The sequence below is a fragment of the Homo sapiens genome, chromosome 8 (genome assembly GCF_000001405.40).
Source record: "Homo sapiens chromosome 8, GRCh38.p14 Primary Assembly".
NCBI lineage: Eukaryota > Metazoa > Chordata > Mammalia > Primates > Hominidae > Homo > Homo sapiens.
In genome coordinates, this window is record NC_000008.11 from 96,478,752 (window position 1) to 96,493,675 (window position 14,924).

Here is a 14,924-nt window from a genome sequence, read left to right on the forward strand (position 1 = left end):
GCGGATCACTTGAGGTCAGGAGTTCCAAACCAACCTGGCCAACATGGTGAAACTCCGCCTCTACTAAAAATACAAAAATTATCTGGGCGTGGTGGTGGGCTCCTGTAGTCCCAGCTACTGGGGAGGCTGAGACACGAGAATCACTTGAACCCAGGCAGTGAGCTGAGATCACACAACCCAGGCAGTGAGCTGAGATCACACCACTGCACTCCACCCTGAGCAACACAGCAAGACTGTCTCAAAAGAAAAAAATTGCTTGTTAAAGCTGCTGCATGTTGGGGTGGTTTGTTTTGTAGTAATAAATAACTGAAGCAGATGCTCATTAGACTGAGAAAGTTACTTCCTATTGTTCATGTGCTGAGAGTTTTATGATAAAGTCATAATTTTTATCAAATATTTTTGCTGCATCTATTAATAAAATATTTCCCCCTTTTTTGTAATATGGTAAAATGTATAGATCATTTTTAACTATAAGGCCATCCTTGCATTCCTTATTCTTTTAATATATTGCTGGATTTGATTTTGTAATCTTTTGCTAAGATTTTTGTATTGATGTTCATAAGTGAGACTGGTTTGCAGTTTTCTTTCTTCGTAATATCTTTGGTAGGTTTTGTTCTTAGGGTTACACTGGTCTCATAATGGTTCCTTTTCTTTTTCTTTTAGATACATAGCATATAAAAGGTATTCCTTGTCATTCATCATCAGGGAAATGCAAATAAAAATAACAGTTAGATACCACTATGCACCTATTAGAATGGCCAAACTCTAAAACATTCACAACACCAAATGCTAGTGAGGATACAGAGCAACAGGAACTCTCATTTATTGCTAGTGGGAATGCAAAATTGTACAGCCACTGTGGAAGACAATTGGACTGTTTCTTGCAAAACTAAATATACTCTTACCATGTGATCCAGGAATTCCATTCCTTGATATTTATCCAAAGGAGTTGAAAACTTATGTCCACACAAAACCCACACCTAGACGCTGATAGCAGCTTTATTCACAATCGCCCAAACTTGGAAGCAATGAAGATGCCCTTCAGTAGGTGAATGAATAAACAGTGGTACATCCAGACAATGGAATTATCACTTAGCACTAAAAAGAAATGAGCTATCAAGTCATGAAAAGACATGAAAGAAACCTAAATGCCTATTACTAAGTGAAAAAAGCTCATCTTAAAAGGCTGCATACTATATGATTTCAACTGTATGACATTCTGGGAAAGCCGAAGTTTGTAGGCAGTAAAAAGATCAGTGGCTGCCAGGGGTTGGGGGAAGGAGGGATGAATAGACAGAGCACAGAGGATTTTTAGGGCAGTGAGACTATTCTGTATGATATTATAATGGCAGACACATGTTGTTACAAATTTGTCCAAACCCATAGAATGCTGTGTGTTGGGGTAGAATGTACAATATCAAGAGTGAACACTGTGGGCTTCTTTGCTGCTTTTCTGTAGGACCTTCAAACTTCCTTCATGCCTCTTTCTGAAGCACATTAACCCCAGCTGCATCTGGTATTCCAGGTGAGCATCCACTATAGATATCCCTAAGAAGAAAGATCACTTAGCAAAGACTTTCTTTTGCTTCTCTCTCTTTTTTTTTTTGACAGAGTCTCACTCTGTCGCCCAGGCTGGAGTGCAGTGGCATGATCTCGGCTCATTGCAACCTCTGCCTCCCAGGTTCAAGCGATTCTCGTGCCTCAGCCTCTCCAGTAGCTAGGGATTACAGGCACGCACCATTGCTTCTCTTAAGGTCCCCTTTTGCTCAAAGCACATACCAATGACAGATAGAAATATCCAAATTACATTCTCTGATGGCGGTACAAGTCATTTAGTACTTGATACTAAAAAGATTTTAAAAATCTACAAATGGGGAAAACTAAAAATCACATTAAAAAACAAAACTGAAAACATTCTTGGTGAGATATTTATAAATTTTGCTTGAGCCTTTAAAAAGCTAACAGGTAGCTAATGCTTCCAATTCCTGGCCAAGAAGAATTTATGGAAAAGATTTCAGAAGACTTTTAAAAGCTCCAAATACATTGGGCTGGGAATCCTGGCTCTAAAATTCACTAGCTGAGTCAATTTGGACAACTCCTTCAGCTATAGTTTCTAGTCTATAAATGCAAACATTCCTTGGTCTGCAAGAAGCTTTTTCCCTGAAATACTCACCTTGCAAAATGTTCCTTTTTTTTTTTTTTTTTTTTTTTAAGACAGGGTCTCACTCTGTTGCCCAAACTGGAGTGCAGTGGCACAATCACTGCTCACTGCAGCCTCTACCTCCTGGGCTCAAGCAATCCTCCCACCTCAGCTTCCAGAGCAGATGGGACTACAGACACACGCCATGATGCCCAGGCAATTATTTTTTTAATTTTTATTTTTACAGATGGGGTTTCACTATGTTTCCCAGGATGGTCTTCAATTTCTAGGCTTAAGTGATCCTCTCACCTTAGCCTCCCAAAGTGCTGAGATTACAGGTGTAAAACAGCTTGTCCAGCTTGAAAAGTACCTAGATTACATGTGTGAGCCACCACACCCAGCAGCAAAGTACTCTTGTTATTTAAACTTCCTCTGTTCTCACTAAATCGGCTTCTAACCCGGATCTGTTTGACTCCATATCCTTTTCCATTTACCCTGTTATAATTTTGTTAGTTTATTTCCTTTTAGAAAATATAACTTGGTGGCCGGGTGCGGTGGCTCACGCCTGTAATCTCAGCTTTGGGAGGCAGGGGCTGGGAGATCACTAGGTCAACAGATGGAGACCATCCTGGCCAACATGGTGAAACCCTGTCTCTACTAAAAATACAGCAAATTAGCTGGGCGTGGTGACAGGTGCCTGTGGTCCCAGCTACTTGGGAGGCTGAGGCAGAAGAATCACTTGAACCTGGGAGGTGGAGGTTGCAGTGAGCAGAGGTCGCACCACTGCACTGCAGCCTGGCAACAGAGCCAGACTCCATCTCTGAAACAAACAAACAAACAAAAAAGAAAATATAACTTGGGGAGTTCACAGTAGCGGTAGTCCTGAGCACATCCCCATTTGCCCTCATGTATACTGTTGATTTTCCCCAAGAGGATCCAGAAGAGAAATGGGCCATGCAGCGTCTGTGAGGTAGGAGACACTGCCTGCTCTACGTGGGTATGCTAAGCCTTCCTGGCCACCTCTGCAAAGCCAAAAGGGGGCAATTCTTCTCTGCCCTTGAGACTGAGGACCAAGGAAGAGAGAAGCTTCCTGTAGGTAACCTGGCAGGGAAGCAAGAGAACTGGCAGCAGACTGCCCCATGGGTGTAGGGACACCTGAGAAGCCCTTTGTCTTCCACCACCTGTGGGTCCCCATTGTGAAGATTCTCCACCAACCAGGTCTGAGACAGAACCAGCCGACAAAGAAACATGACACTGCATATGATGGCACCCAGCAGCCAGAGAGAGGAAAAAACCAAGAGAACAAGCACACGCCCAAGGAAATACAACTGCTACAGGAGACAGACGAAAACATAAGCTGGAAACAAAACAAACCAACAAAACCAAGCACTTAAAGAGCCCAAGTGCATCTGCAAATAATAATAATAATAACTCATTAATAATAAAAACACGAGTTCTCATTAGAAATTTCACAGGGAAATTAAAGGAGAGAATGGTCACTGATCTGAATTAGTGGTTTGGAAATTCATGGACACAATCAAACAAATGTGAGAAGTTGGAAATCATGACAGAAAATGTAAGGGATTTGGAGGCTATCTATTCAGGACATTTAAAAGACAAATAATAGAAGTTTCAGAAAGAGAAAACAATATATTGAAAGAGAGAAAACAATTTTTAAAAAACTAAACAAGGCCAGGCACGTTGGCTCATGCGTGTAATCCCAGCACTTTGGGAGGCCAAGGCGGGTGAATCACGAGGTCAGGAGTTCAAGACCAGTCTGGCCAACATAGTGAAACCCCATCTCTACTAAAAATAGAAAAAAATTAGCCCAGTATGGTGGTGTGCGCCAGTAGTCCCAGCTACTCGGGAGGCTGAGGCAGGAGAATCGCGTGAACCCGGGAGGCGGAGGTTGCGGTGAGCCGAGATCGCACCATTGCACTCCAGCCGGGGGGGTGCCATGCGAGACTCAGTCTCAAACAAAACAAAACAACTAAACAAATGAAACCTTTCACTTGAGGAGAAAGACTTGAATCAGTAAACTAAATGATCCATTGAAGAGAAATCACAAGTACACAGGCATAGCATAGTAAACCCCCTAAATTCTAGGGACAACTGGAAAATCTTATAAGCTCCTAAGCAGAAAGGACAAATTATCCACAGAAAATGCATAGCCTCAAATGCTGTTTTATCATTAAAGAAATTAAAAATAAAAGAACTTAGAATTTCAATTAAGAAATTATAAAGAGATCAATTTTTAAAACAGGAAAAGGAATGACAACAAAGATAAAACAACAAACAAACACAAAAAGAGTAAGGAAAGTTTATGTAAAAGTGTCTTTTGAAAAAGATTAATAATAGAAATAAATCCCTCAGGAGCCTGATAAGAAAGAAGAGAAAGCCAAAGAGACAAGGTAAAAAAACGAGAAAAAAAATGCAAGAGAAATTTTTAACAATAAGGAAATATTTATCTCTCTAAAGGCAAATCTGACAACAGGTTTTAAAACCTGGAGGATAATAATGGTTTTCAAGCAAAATACAAATGACTAAAATGGACCCAAGAAGAAATCGTAAATCTGAATAGACCAATTATGACAGAAGAAAGGGTAGTAAGAGAGCTACTGCTTAAATAGGCACCAAAACCAAATGGGCATTTGGACTGGGTGCTACCTAATTTCTAAAGAACTGATCATTTCAATGCTATGCAAATTAGTCCAGGATAGAGAGGAAATATAGAAAAGTCTCCAACTCATTTGACATAGCCAGCAAGACCTTAATGCCACAGCCTGATCTAGTAGAACACAGGATAAAAAATTATAGACCTATATCACTTTCAAATAAGATGCAAAACTTCTAAACAAAATAAAGGAAGACATCAGCAAGTTCTCAAAAACTGGTGCGCTAAGATCAAGCACATTTTTTTCAAGGAATGTGGGAGTGATTTGCTTTCTGAAAATCACTCTCAGTGACCATCAGCACAATCTATTACATTAACAGACTAAAGGATAAAATCCATAGGATTATATCAGTAGATTCTGAAAGAGCTTGAATAAAACTAAACAACCATCTCTAACAAAAACTCAAGATAAGTAATGAAACTTTTTGATCTACTAAAGACAATTCACAAACAAACCACAAGTGTCATTCCAAATTATAACACACAATACACTAAACCATTTCCATTAAAACCAGGAACGAGTTGTTAAAACTAGTTACTAAACAACTGGCATAGACATTAAAAAAGATATTAAAACCACATTTTTTGCTGATGACCTAATTGCCTACCTAGAAATCCATGAGATTCTAGTAAAATATGTACTGGCTTCACTTAAAAATTATTGGTAAGATGGTAGTATACAAAATAAATATTAAAGATAGACAGTTTTTCTCTGCTCTAGCAGTAAGTTCTTAAATGAAAATAGGGGAAATTCTATTTATAATAGTGACACAATGTAAGTAAATAATGGGAATATATATAACAAGAGGTTCACAGGATCTATAGGAAAACTATAAAATCTTATGAGCAGACATTTAAAAAAGATCTGAACAAAGTTGAGTAAAACATTTTCTGGTTTGAGATGACTTAATATCATAAAAATGTTACTTGTACCAAAACCAATGAATAAATTTAGTTCAATTCCAAATGGAATCCTAAAATGGTTTATTTTAATTGTCTAAAATATCTTTAGAATTTATGTGGATGAAGAAAATGCCCAAAAATATTCAAGAAAAGCATGGGAAAAACAACCACCAGTGTCTGGTAAGGGAGAGCAGGGAGATTGACTTTGGGAATATCAGAGGGTTCTATAAAGTTGTGGTAATCAAATGAATATGCTATGACATGGGAATAGACAAACAGATCAGTGGGTAGAATAGATAATTGAAAGTGGTTACAGTATATATAAGAATATATGCGGCTGGGCACGGTGGCTTACGCCCATAATCCCAGCACTTTGGGAGGCCGAGGCAGGCGGATCAGGAGGTCAGGAGATTGAGACCATCCTGGCTAACACAGTGAAAACCCGTCTCTACTAAAAATACAAAATATTAGCCCGGCGTGGTGGCGGGCGCCTGTAGTCCCAGCTACTCAGGAGGCTGAGGTAGAAGAATGGCGTGAACCCGGGAGGCGGAGGTTGCAGTGAGCCCAGATCGCGCCACTGTACTCCAGCCTGGGCAACAGAGTGAGACTCCATCTCAAAAAAAAAAAAAGAAGAATATATGCAAGATGGATTAATAACATAGTAATGTTAATAGCAATCATATCAGAGCTCTTCCAAAAAAAGCATATTACCATGTAGAAAGGTGGGGAAAAGATATGAACAGACAGTTCACAGAAGACCAACTCCAAATACAACGAACACATGAAAAGATGCTCTAAAGCACTAGTAGTCAGGAAATTGCACATAACAAGAGCAATGAGCTGTCACTTCATACTTATCAAACTGGCTGAGAAGAAAGCTAACACCTATTGCTGGCTGGGATGTGGAAAAAGGAAAAAAAAAAAAGATACCCTCAACATCACTGGTGGGAGTGTGAGAACTTGTTGTTGCTGTAAAACTGTCAAGCAACATCCCATAAAACTACAAACATTTATACCTTCCAATCCAACAATCCCACTCTAGGGAATCTAGCCCACAGAAAGAAAGTCACTAGTAACTAAGGAAATATGTAAAAGGTATTTCCTGTCATATTATTTGCAGTAGGGGAAAATACTCGACTGGAAACAAAAGAGATGCTTATTACAGGGAAATGGCTAGATCAAGTATGAAATACCAGTACCGAGGGGTAAGAGACTCACATTATATACATGAATGAAGGTTCCATCAGGTGACTTGGAGGGATTTCGACAAGATGAAAGTGTGTTTAATAGGATTCCATTTTTAAAAACAACTAAGAACAAAACAAACAAGCATTAAAAACTCATGCGTGGGGCTGGGCTCGGTGGCTCATGCCTGTAATCCCAGTACTTTGGGAGGCTGAGGCGGGCTGATCACCTGAGGTCAGGAGTTCAAGATCAGCCTGGCCAACATAGCAGAACCCCCGTCTCTACTAAAAATACAAAAATTAGCTGGGTGTGGTGGTGTGCGCCTGTAATCCTAGATACTCAGGAGGCTGAGGTGGGAGAATTGCTTGAACCCAGGAGGCAGAGGTTGCAGTGAGCCGAGATCGCATCATTGCACTCCAGTCTGGCCAACGAATGAAACTCTGTCTCAAAACAAAACAAAACAAACAACAAAAAAACTCATGTGTGTGTCATGGATTTGTGAGTGTATCCCTATAGGATTATACAAATAGAGAAAGAGAGGACAATTCATACCAGGCTATTCACATGGGTCACCTTGGGGTGTTGGGGTGTGCCTGTGGTGAGTAGGGGTTGGGGGATAGGAGGAGACACTAGCTTTGGTGGTGCGACACTGGAATGAAACCTGCAGAGAAACCCTCAGCCTTTGTCATTTGTATTACTAACAGCTACAAGAACAAGAGCAAAAAGTAGACATTTTGAGTTCCCATTTCATGATAAATTGTACTTTTTTCTTTCCCTGAAGCATTTTTCTTATTTCTATCTGAACTCCTAGGAGCATTTGATTTTCATTTTAACAATTCAAAACTATTTACTGCTATTTCAGAACTTGCAAGTTTGGAATTTTATACTATTTTCCTGGGTTCTTAGTTGGATTTAAACTTGTTATGGCACTTAAAAAGATAGAATGGTGTGTGTTCTTGTTTCCTAGGTCTTTCTGAGTGGTATTCAGTTTTATGTTTATACTTTTAGCCACAACAGAACATGTTTCTAAGAGCAAATTTTATAGCAACTCCAATATTCCATGCTAAGTTAGAATTAATTATCATAAAAGTCTGTTATCTAATCTGGTGGATCAGCGAAGGCTTCCTGGAGGAGGTGTGCAACACACAGTAGGCATTCAGATATTTGCTAATGAGGACACTTCTAAACTGACCCTTAAAGGGCAAGCAGGAGTTAGGCAGGCAAAGAGAGTTGAGAGAACAGATGAGTTATTCCAGGCAGAGAAAATACTAGTCACAAATGGCATTTGTAACAACTGGCATTTATTGAGAGGAAACACTAATAACCACAACTGGCATTTATTGAGACAACTGGCATTTATTGAAAGTTCACTAGGTGCAAGGTAGCTTGCTAAATACTTTATGCGTATTATTAACTCATAGGCTCCACACATTAACCCAATTATCTCCAAACTACAGATGAAGAAACGGGTTTAAATTTAGTGGCCTGCTCAGGTGTCAAGGCCTTTAAGAACACTGTAAGAGTGGAACTGGGATTCAAACCCCAGTCTGTATATTTCCAAAGGCTGAGGTTTTAACCACTACAGGGCACAGCCTACCCTAACAGCCGGTGTAAGAGCCTCTGTTAGGTATCCTTAATGTATTGGGTTACTTAACAACTCAGCCAGGCGTGGCTATCCTACCTGTTTCTCATTTCACTAGCTGAAAGAATTTAGTAACATTTTCACACCTGGACATTTGTGTGCCTTGACCTCTAGATCTTTTAGAAAAGTGTTCAGTGAGGCAATTCCTGGCATTAACTTGTAGGTGTTCCCAGTGCTAATACTATTTAATTCAGCAAAGAATCTACGTATTCTACTCTGCTTTTAGAGTTTTAAAGATACCAAATTCTACATGGAAAACACTTCCCCCAAGGTAATTCATAAGTAAAATTTTTCTTTAAAAGTTTGTGTTTTCTCCTGAAAATCTAAATAATGTTAGTAGTAGTTTATCTTCACTAAAACTGTTCTTAACTATACATGGCTCATAAAACACTAAATGGCAAGATTTCCATTCTATCCAGAGTGAAGCTAAGGTAGTCAAAGCTCTTTGCTTCATTTTCATCTCTGTCTTGGGCTGGCTTCATTTGTTTACCAAGAAGTAGTAATAAATTAATTACTAGTAAATTTAGCTCTTTAGCTAAAGAAAAATGAGGAATTTACCTTAAGGATACCATAGTATCTTGTATAACCTAAAGGAAGAAAGTTTATTTGGGTTTCAAAACAGGCTAGAAAAGGGACTGGAAAAAAAAAAAAAACCAAAATCCGGAAAACTACATTATTCTGGAGCCATATATCCTCTGTTGTTGCTTCTCTCTGTTCATCTGCTTCATTCTTTCCATTTTACATCAACCTTTTCTCTCTCACCACACAAGGACCCCTTAGCAATTCTGGATTACTCCCAGGTCAACAATGTACAATTTAGTTAGACTCTGAGTTCCTTGGCTCAAATAATCTGAAAGGTGAATCTGATTGGCCACTGGCCCACTAATAAATTGCCTCCCCCTGCTTCCAGCCCTGGTCTACATAATTGTGATCAAGGAGGTGTGGAATCATCTAAATGATGATATGTAACATGTAGGCCCCTTTCCAGGGCCTTGGAGAGGATGGATTTCTAAGAACAGTCAATGAGGTTAGAGCTAGTTACCATTAAAGTAATCACCTGCAGAGAGTAGTAATAAGAGTAGTCCCAGCTGGTCACGGTGGCAAGTACCTGTAGTCCCAGCTACTTGGGAGGCTGAGGAGGGAGGATCACTTGTATCCAGGAGTTTGAGGCTGCAGTGAGTTATGATCGTACTACTGCACTCCAGCCTGGGCCACAGAGTAAGACCCCCTTTCTAAAAAGAAAAAGAAAAAGAAAAAAAAGAGTAGGACTGTCCACCAACAGATGAAGAAAATGTGTGGTGCATATACACAATGGAATACCATTTAGCCTTATAAAAGAAGGCAGCGGGGCTCTTCCAGCTACGTGGAAGGATTGCTTGAGCCCAGAAGTTGGAGTTCAGCCTGGGCAACATAGCCAGACCCTGTCTCAAAAAAAGAAAAAAAAAAAGAAATTCTGTCATTTGTGATGACATAGGTGAACCTGGAGGACATTATGCTAAGCCAGGTATAGAATGGCAAATACCACGATTCCACTTATGTGTAATCTTAAAAAGTTGAATTCATGGTAAGTTCAAGAGATCTGTTGTATATCATAGTGACTATAGCTAACAATATATTGTATCCTCAAAAACTGCTGAGAAAAAAGATTTTAAGTGCTCTTACCACAAAAAATTTGTTTGTGAGGCAATGCATATGTTAATCAGATTGATTTAATCATTCCCCAATGTACACATTATTAATTAATTAATTATTTAATAGACAGGGTCTTGCTCTGTCACCCTGGCTGGAGTGCAGTGGTTCGATCATAGCTCACTGTAACCTTGAACTCCTAGGCTCAAGTGACCCTCTTACCTCAGCCACCCGAGTAGCTGGGACTACAGGTGTGTGTGCCACTGCTGCACCTGGCTACATATTTTTAAAGAGCATGCTGTACACCATAAATATATACAATTTTTATTTGTCAATTTAAAAAATAGTACCATTTTACATAAAATTAATCAAGGTTAGACTTTCCTGTTCAACTGGATATATACAAATGCAATGCAAAATAACTTGAAGATACCTCTGTGGTACCTTCCTGGATTCATACATCCAAATCTATAACATTCAAATATGGCTCTTTGGATATGTATTTTAGTCCATAAATAATGTTTTCTTTAAACTTTATCTGATTTTAGAATGAAATTCATCATGTACTTTAGTCACAGATTCATGACTTGAGAACAACTCTTAGTTTAAAAATGTATTAACTCTAACAAGGTTCAAGAAAATTCATGTGCCTACCCAGTGAGTACCTGAGTTGCAGCAGGTGATCCATACATATTTGTTGACTGAATGTCAAATTTTGCCAGCCTTTAAAGAACCATACCACACTGTTAGAAAAACTGACATGAAGGGCCAAGTGTGATGGCTCACACCTGTAATCTCAGACCCTTCGGAGGCCAAGGGGGAGGATCACTTGAGTCTAGGAGTTCGATGCCAGCCTGGGCAATATAGTGAGCCCTCGTCTCTAAAAAAAGAAAAAAAGAAAAAAAAGAAAAAGAAAAACAGAAGTAACTGTTTTATCTCCTGTCTTATTTTATGTATTATACACTTCCTTGATTTTCCTGTGTCCTCCTATCCAAAACTGTAACAATTTTGTTCAACATTAGCACCATATCATTTTATGAAACTCAAATCAGCCAACTTCTCTGGGAAGGGGTTGATGGAGGTGAATAAAGAGAACAGTGGAAAGTTTGAGGCTGAAAATAGACTTTTTTTTTTTTTTTTTGGAGACAGAGTCTCGCTCTGTTGCCCAGGCTGGAGTACGGTGGCATGATCTCGGCTCACTGCAACTTCTACCTCCCGGGTTCAAGCAATTCTCCTGCCTCAGCCTCCCAAGTAGCTGCGACTACAGGTGCCCGCCATCACACCTGGCTAATTTTTGTTGTGTTGTTCTTAGTAAAGACGGGGTTTCACCGTGTTGCCCAGGCTGGTCTTGAACTTCTGAGCTCAGGCAATCTGCCTGCCTCGGCCTCCCAAAGTGCTAGGATTACAGGTGTGAGCCACCGCGCCAGGCCTGAAAATAGATTTTTTTGGATTGCCTGTAGATTTTGGTCATGGCCTCAGCTCACTTGCCAGTATTAGCGATGGCTCATTAATGGTTGGCTGGATGGATATCCTATTCCTCTCAGCTTCTATCATCTTTCAAGTGAATTTCATAAGAGCCAATCCTACCAAATTGATTTCTAGCCTGGACTCCTGGTAACAGTCCAGGGGGTGCCAAGTGGAAGAACAACCGAGAACAACAGAATGGCATCTTTTTTTTCCGCTATCCCCTACTCTGACAACTCACCTCAGGACAGAACACCTGTTTATCCACGGTTGTAATGTGGTATCATTTGTTACCGTAGTGACAGAGTCCGATGTGTCAGTTTAGGTTAAAAACTGTCTTTAGTAGCTTTCATTTCTATTTTTTCACTTGTCTGGTTCTCTTTATTTTTTATTTGTTTTTACATGTTTGCATCTTAATCTCTATGTTGTTTATTTTTAATATTTTCTCCTGAGACTCTTGAAGTGTGGTAATTATTCTTTTAGCAATCAATGAAGCTATTTGGGAAGTGATTGGTTAAGCTGTGCCCCTCAAAGCATAGCCCTCAAAACCTGAGGACTTGAAGTATATTTGCAAAGAACCTTTGGTTCTAGTCACAAGCTATACTTAGTGAATTAGATATACTACACAAAATTCTGCCAAATTTTAGTCCCCATCAGTTTTTTAAACATTTCCAATTAGCAAAACACACAAACAGGCCTACATCGTTTGCGAATTTAGACAAATCCTGACTAATACCAGCGGACCTCCCCTGACTTCTGTCCCCATCCCCACTCAGCATGGGTGACCTCTTTGTAGCCAGCTCTTGTGTAAGTGCTTTTTATACTGTCAGATTATCCTTCTTGCCACAGCTGTTAATAAATCTGAACACAAGATCTTGAATATTTGTTTTCATCTCCTTAATATTGTGTCACTCAAAATGGTACCAATTCCCTTATTATATATACTCTCAATGGAGTATTTATCATCTTTAAAGAAACAAGTCACTGAGCATCTCATCAACACCAAGAGCCTTGGGGTGTGCCTTCAGGGCAGCAAACAGATAATATCCCTTCAACACGTGTATCCACTTATTCATTTTTTATCACTGTCTGCCCAAGCTGAATCAGAGAGCATTCACCACGCTTCTTGTTACATGGGTGCCCCAGTAAACAGCAATAACTGTGAGAACCAGCAAATCAGTGGAGTGCACTTCCTGTTTTACTGGAATTCCAATTTATTTGATGAATACTTAACTGTTGGGGACAATGGAGGTGTGGCCTTGCCTGAAGGCTGGCGAGTAGACGAGGCCTCTTATGAGGACAGAGCTGGTATTTTATGGCTCTTTGCATGTATTTTGCATTGCTGCTTTTCCTTTGGAGGCCTTTTTAAGAAGTCTCCCCATCTCATGAACCTCTTCAACCCACAGACTCCATCTTAAAAATAAGGGCACTAGGCTGGTGGCTCACGTGTCTAATCCCAGGACTTTGGGAGGCTGAGGCAGGCAGATCACTTGAGCCCAAGAGTTTGAGACCAGCCTGGGCAACAATGGAAAACCCTGTCTCTATAAAAAACACAAAAATTAGCTGGTGTGGTGGCCTGTGCCTGTAGTCCCAGCTACTTGGTAAGCTGAGGTGGGAGGACTGCTTGAGCCTGAGAGGTAGAGGCTACAGTGCAGGCCACTGCACTCCAGCCTGGGCAAGAATGAGACCCTGTCTCAAAAAAAAAAAAAAAAAAAAAAAAGGCTGTGGTTCATTCTTTCAAAAGCTAAGTGGAGCCCACATTGGCACAGATGCCAGCTACAGTGTCTGTGGAATCAGAAGCATCATCTGATGTTACAACTTCTGGCCTATTGCTCTTTTTCTTCTTTCTCCTTTGCCTACTCTTCTATTTCTCCATATTACCTTTTTGTTGGCCAATGCCTTAGACTTGCTCATGAGCATTTGTAGGTTTGGTAGCTGGCACACAAAACCAAAGGAATAAGTGTCTCCAAGTTTGAGTTGTAATTCTCCAGTTAAATTTCTTTCTTTGAGATTTATTACAGTAATAGGTTACTAAGACATTTAATTCTCACTGAGGGTATGACTGTATTTTATTCTAATACTGAGTTGAAAAATTACCATGGCCTCATATCTATATATCTACATTGGTGTATTTTAAAGGCTCACAACTCTTATACGGTATAAATTGAGCTTTAGAGCAAAATTTATTCAAGATAATATTTATCATGTGTCTTTATGTACCAGGAATGAGAATACAATGGTGAACAGACAGAAAAGTCTCTGGTTTCCTGTAGTGGGCATTCCAGGAGCAGAATGGCGTCATAATTCATTTACTCTATAAGTCAGAGAGAAAAATGATGGCACGAACTGCAAGGGATTTGTGTGTAAAATTTGTGACAGTAAGAAAAAGAAACTGGAAGGGAATACGCATTTGCCATGTTCTATAATATGCCACAGACATTGTAACAAAATATTTCATGTCAGCTACTTCCATTTAGGAAATACATGTTCATTATTTTCTTCAAACTAAGAATTACTTTATCCCTCTTTTCTTTGAAGTTATCTTAAATCTGTTATTATTCAGGGTCTCTATCCAACTTCTCATCAAATTACCCTATTTGTAGCTTCCAAACGTTAACACCTATCTGCTAAAATGGAGCCTATAAAAAGCCTTAGTGGCATAAACTGTGTGTGAGGGAGAAATGGTATTTAAGCCCTTAATGAAGTTAGGAGCTTTCAAACTGTTGCACTTTGGGTTTACAGGATCCTTCCTCCATGTCCCTTTTTTGGGGGTGCGGAAGGATTTGGGAGAATGGGAAACACTCTCACTATATATTTATTACATTAATTATCTTCTCTTTTAAAATGCAATTTTCATGAACTGGCGATTTATGAACACTTCACATTGCTTGAAAGCATCTTACACTTTTTTTTTCCCTCAACTCACAAAGCAGTTTCTTTCTACTGGTCGAATTCTCAAGGCAGAAAAGCTACATACGTCTCTCGTTTCTTCACTAATTGTTCTCTAGAAAAGGGAAAGTGAAGAAGGGAAAGAGAAAAGACAACGGGGAAGAAAAGAGCATAGAGGAGAGAGGAAAAGTGGGGAGAGAAAGGAAGAAAAGGACTGAGAAAACGCAGGAGCCCTGGCTTGCCGGTGAGCAGAGCCGGCGCAGCCACAGCGCGGAGCCGCGGCGCCCACTGGTCCTCGGAGCTGCCAATCGGCGTGTAATCCTGTAGGAATTTCTCCCGGGTTTATCTGGGAGTCACACTGCCGCCTCCTCTCCCCAGTCGCCCAGGGGAGCCCGGAG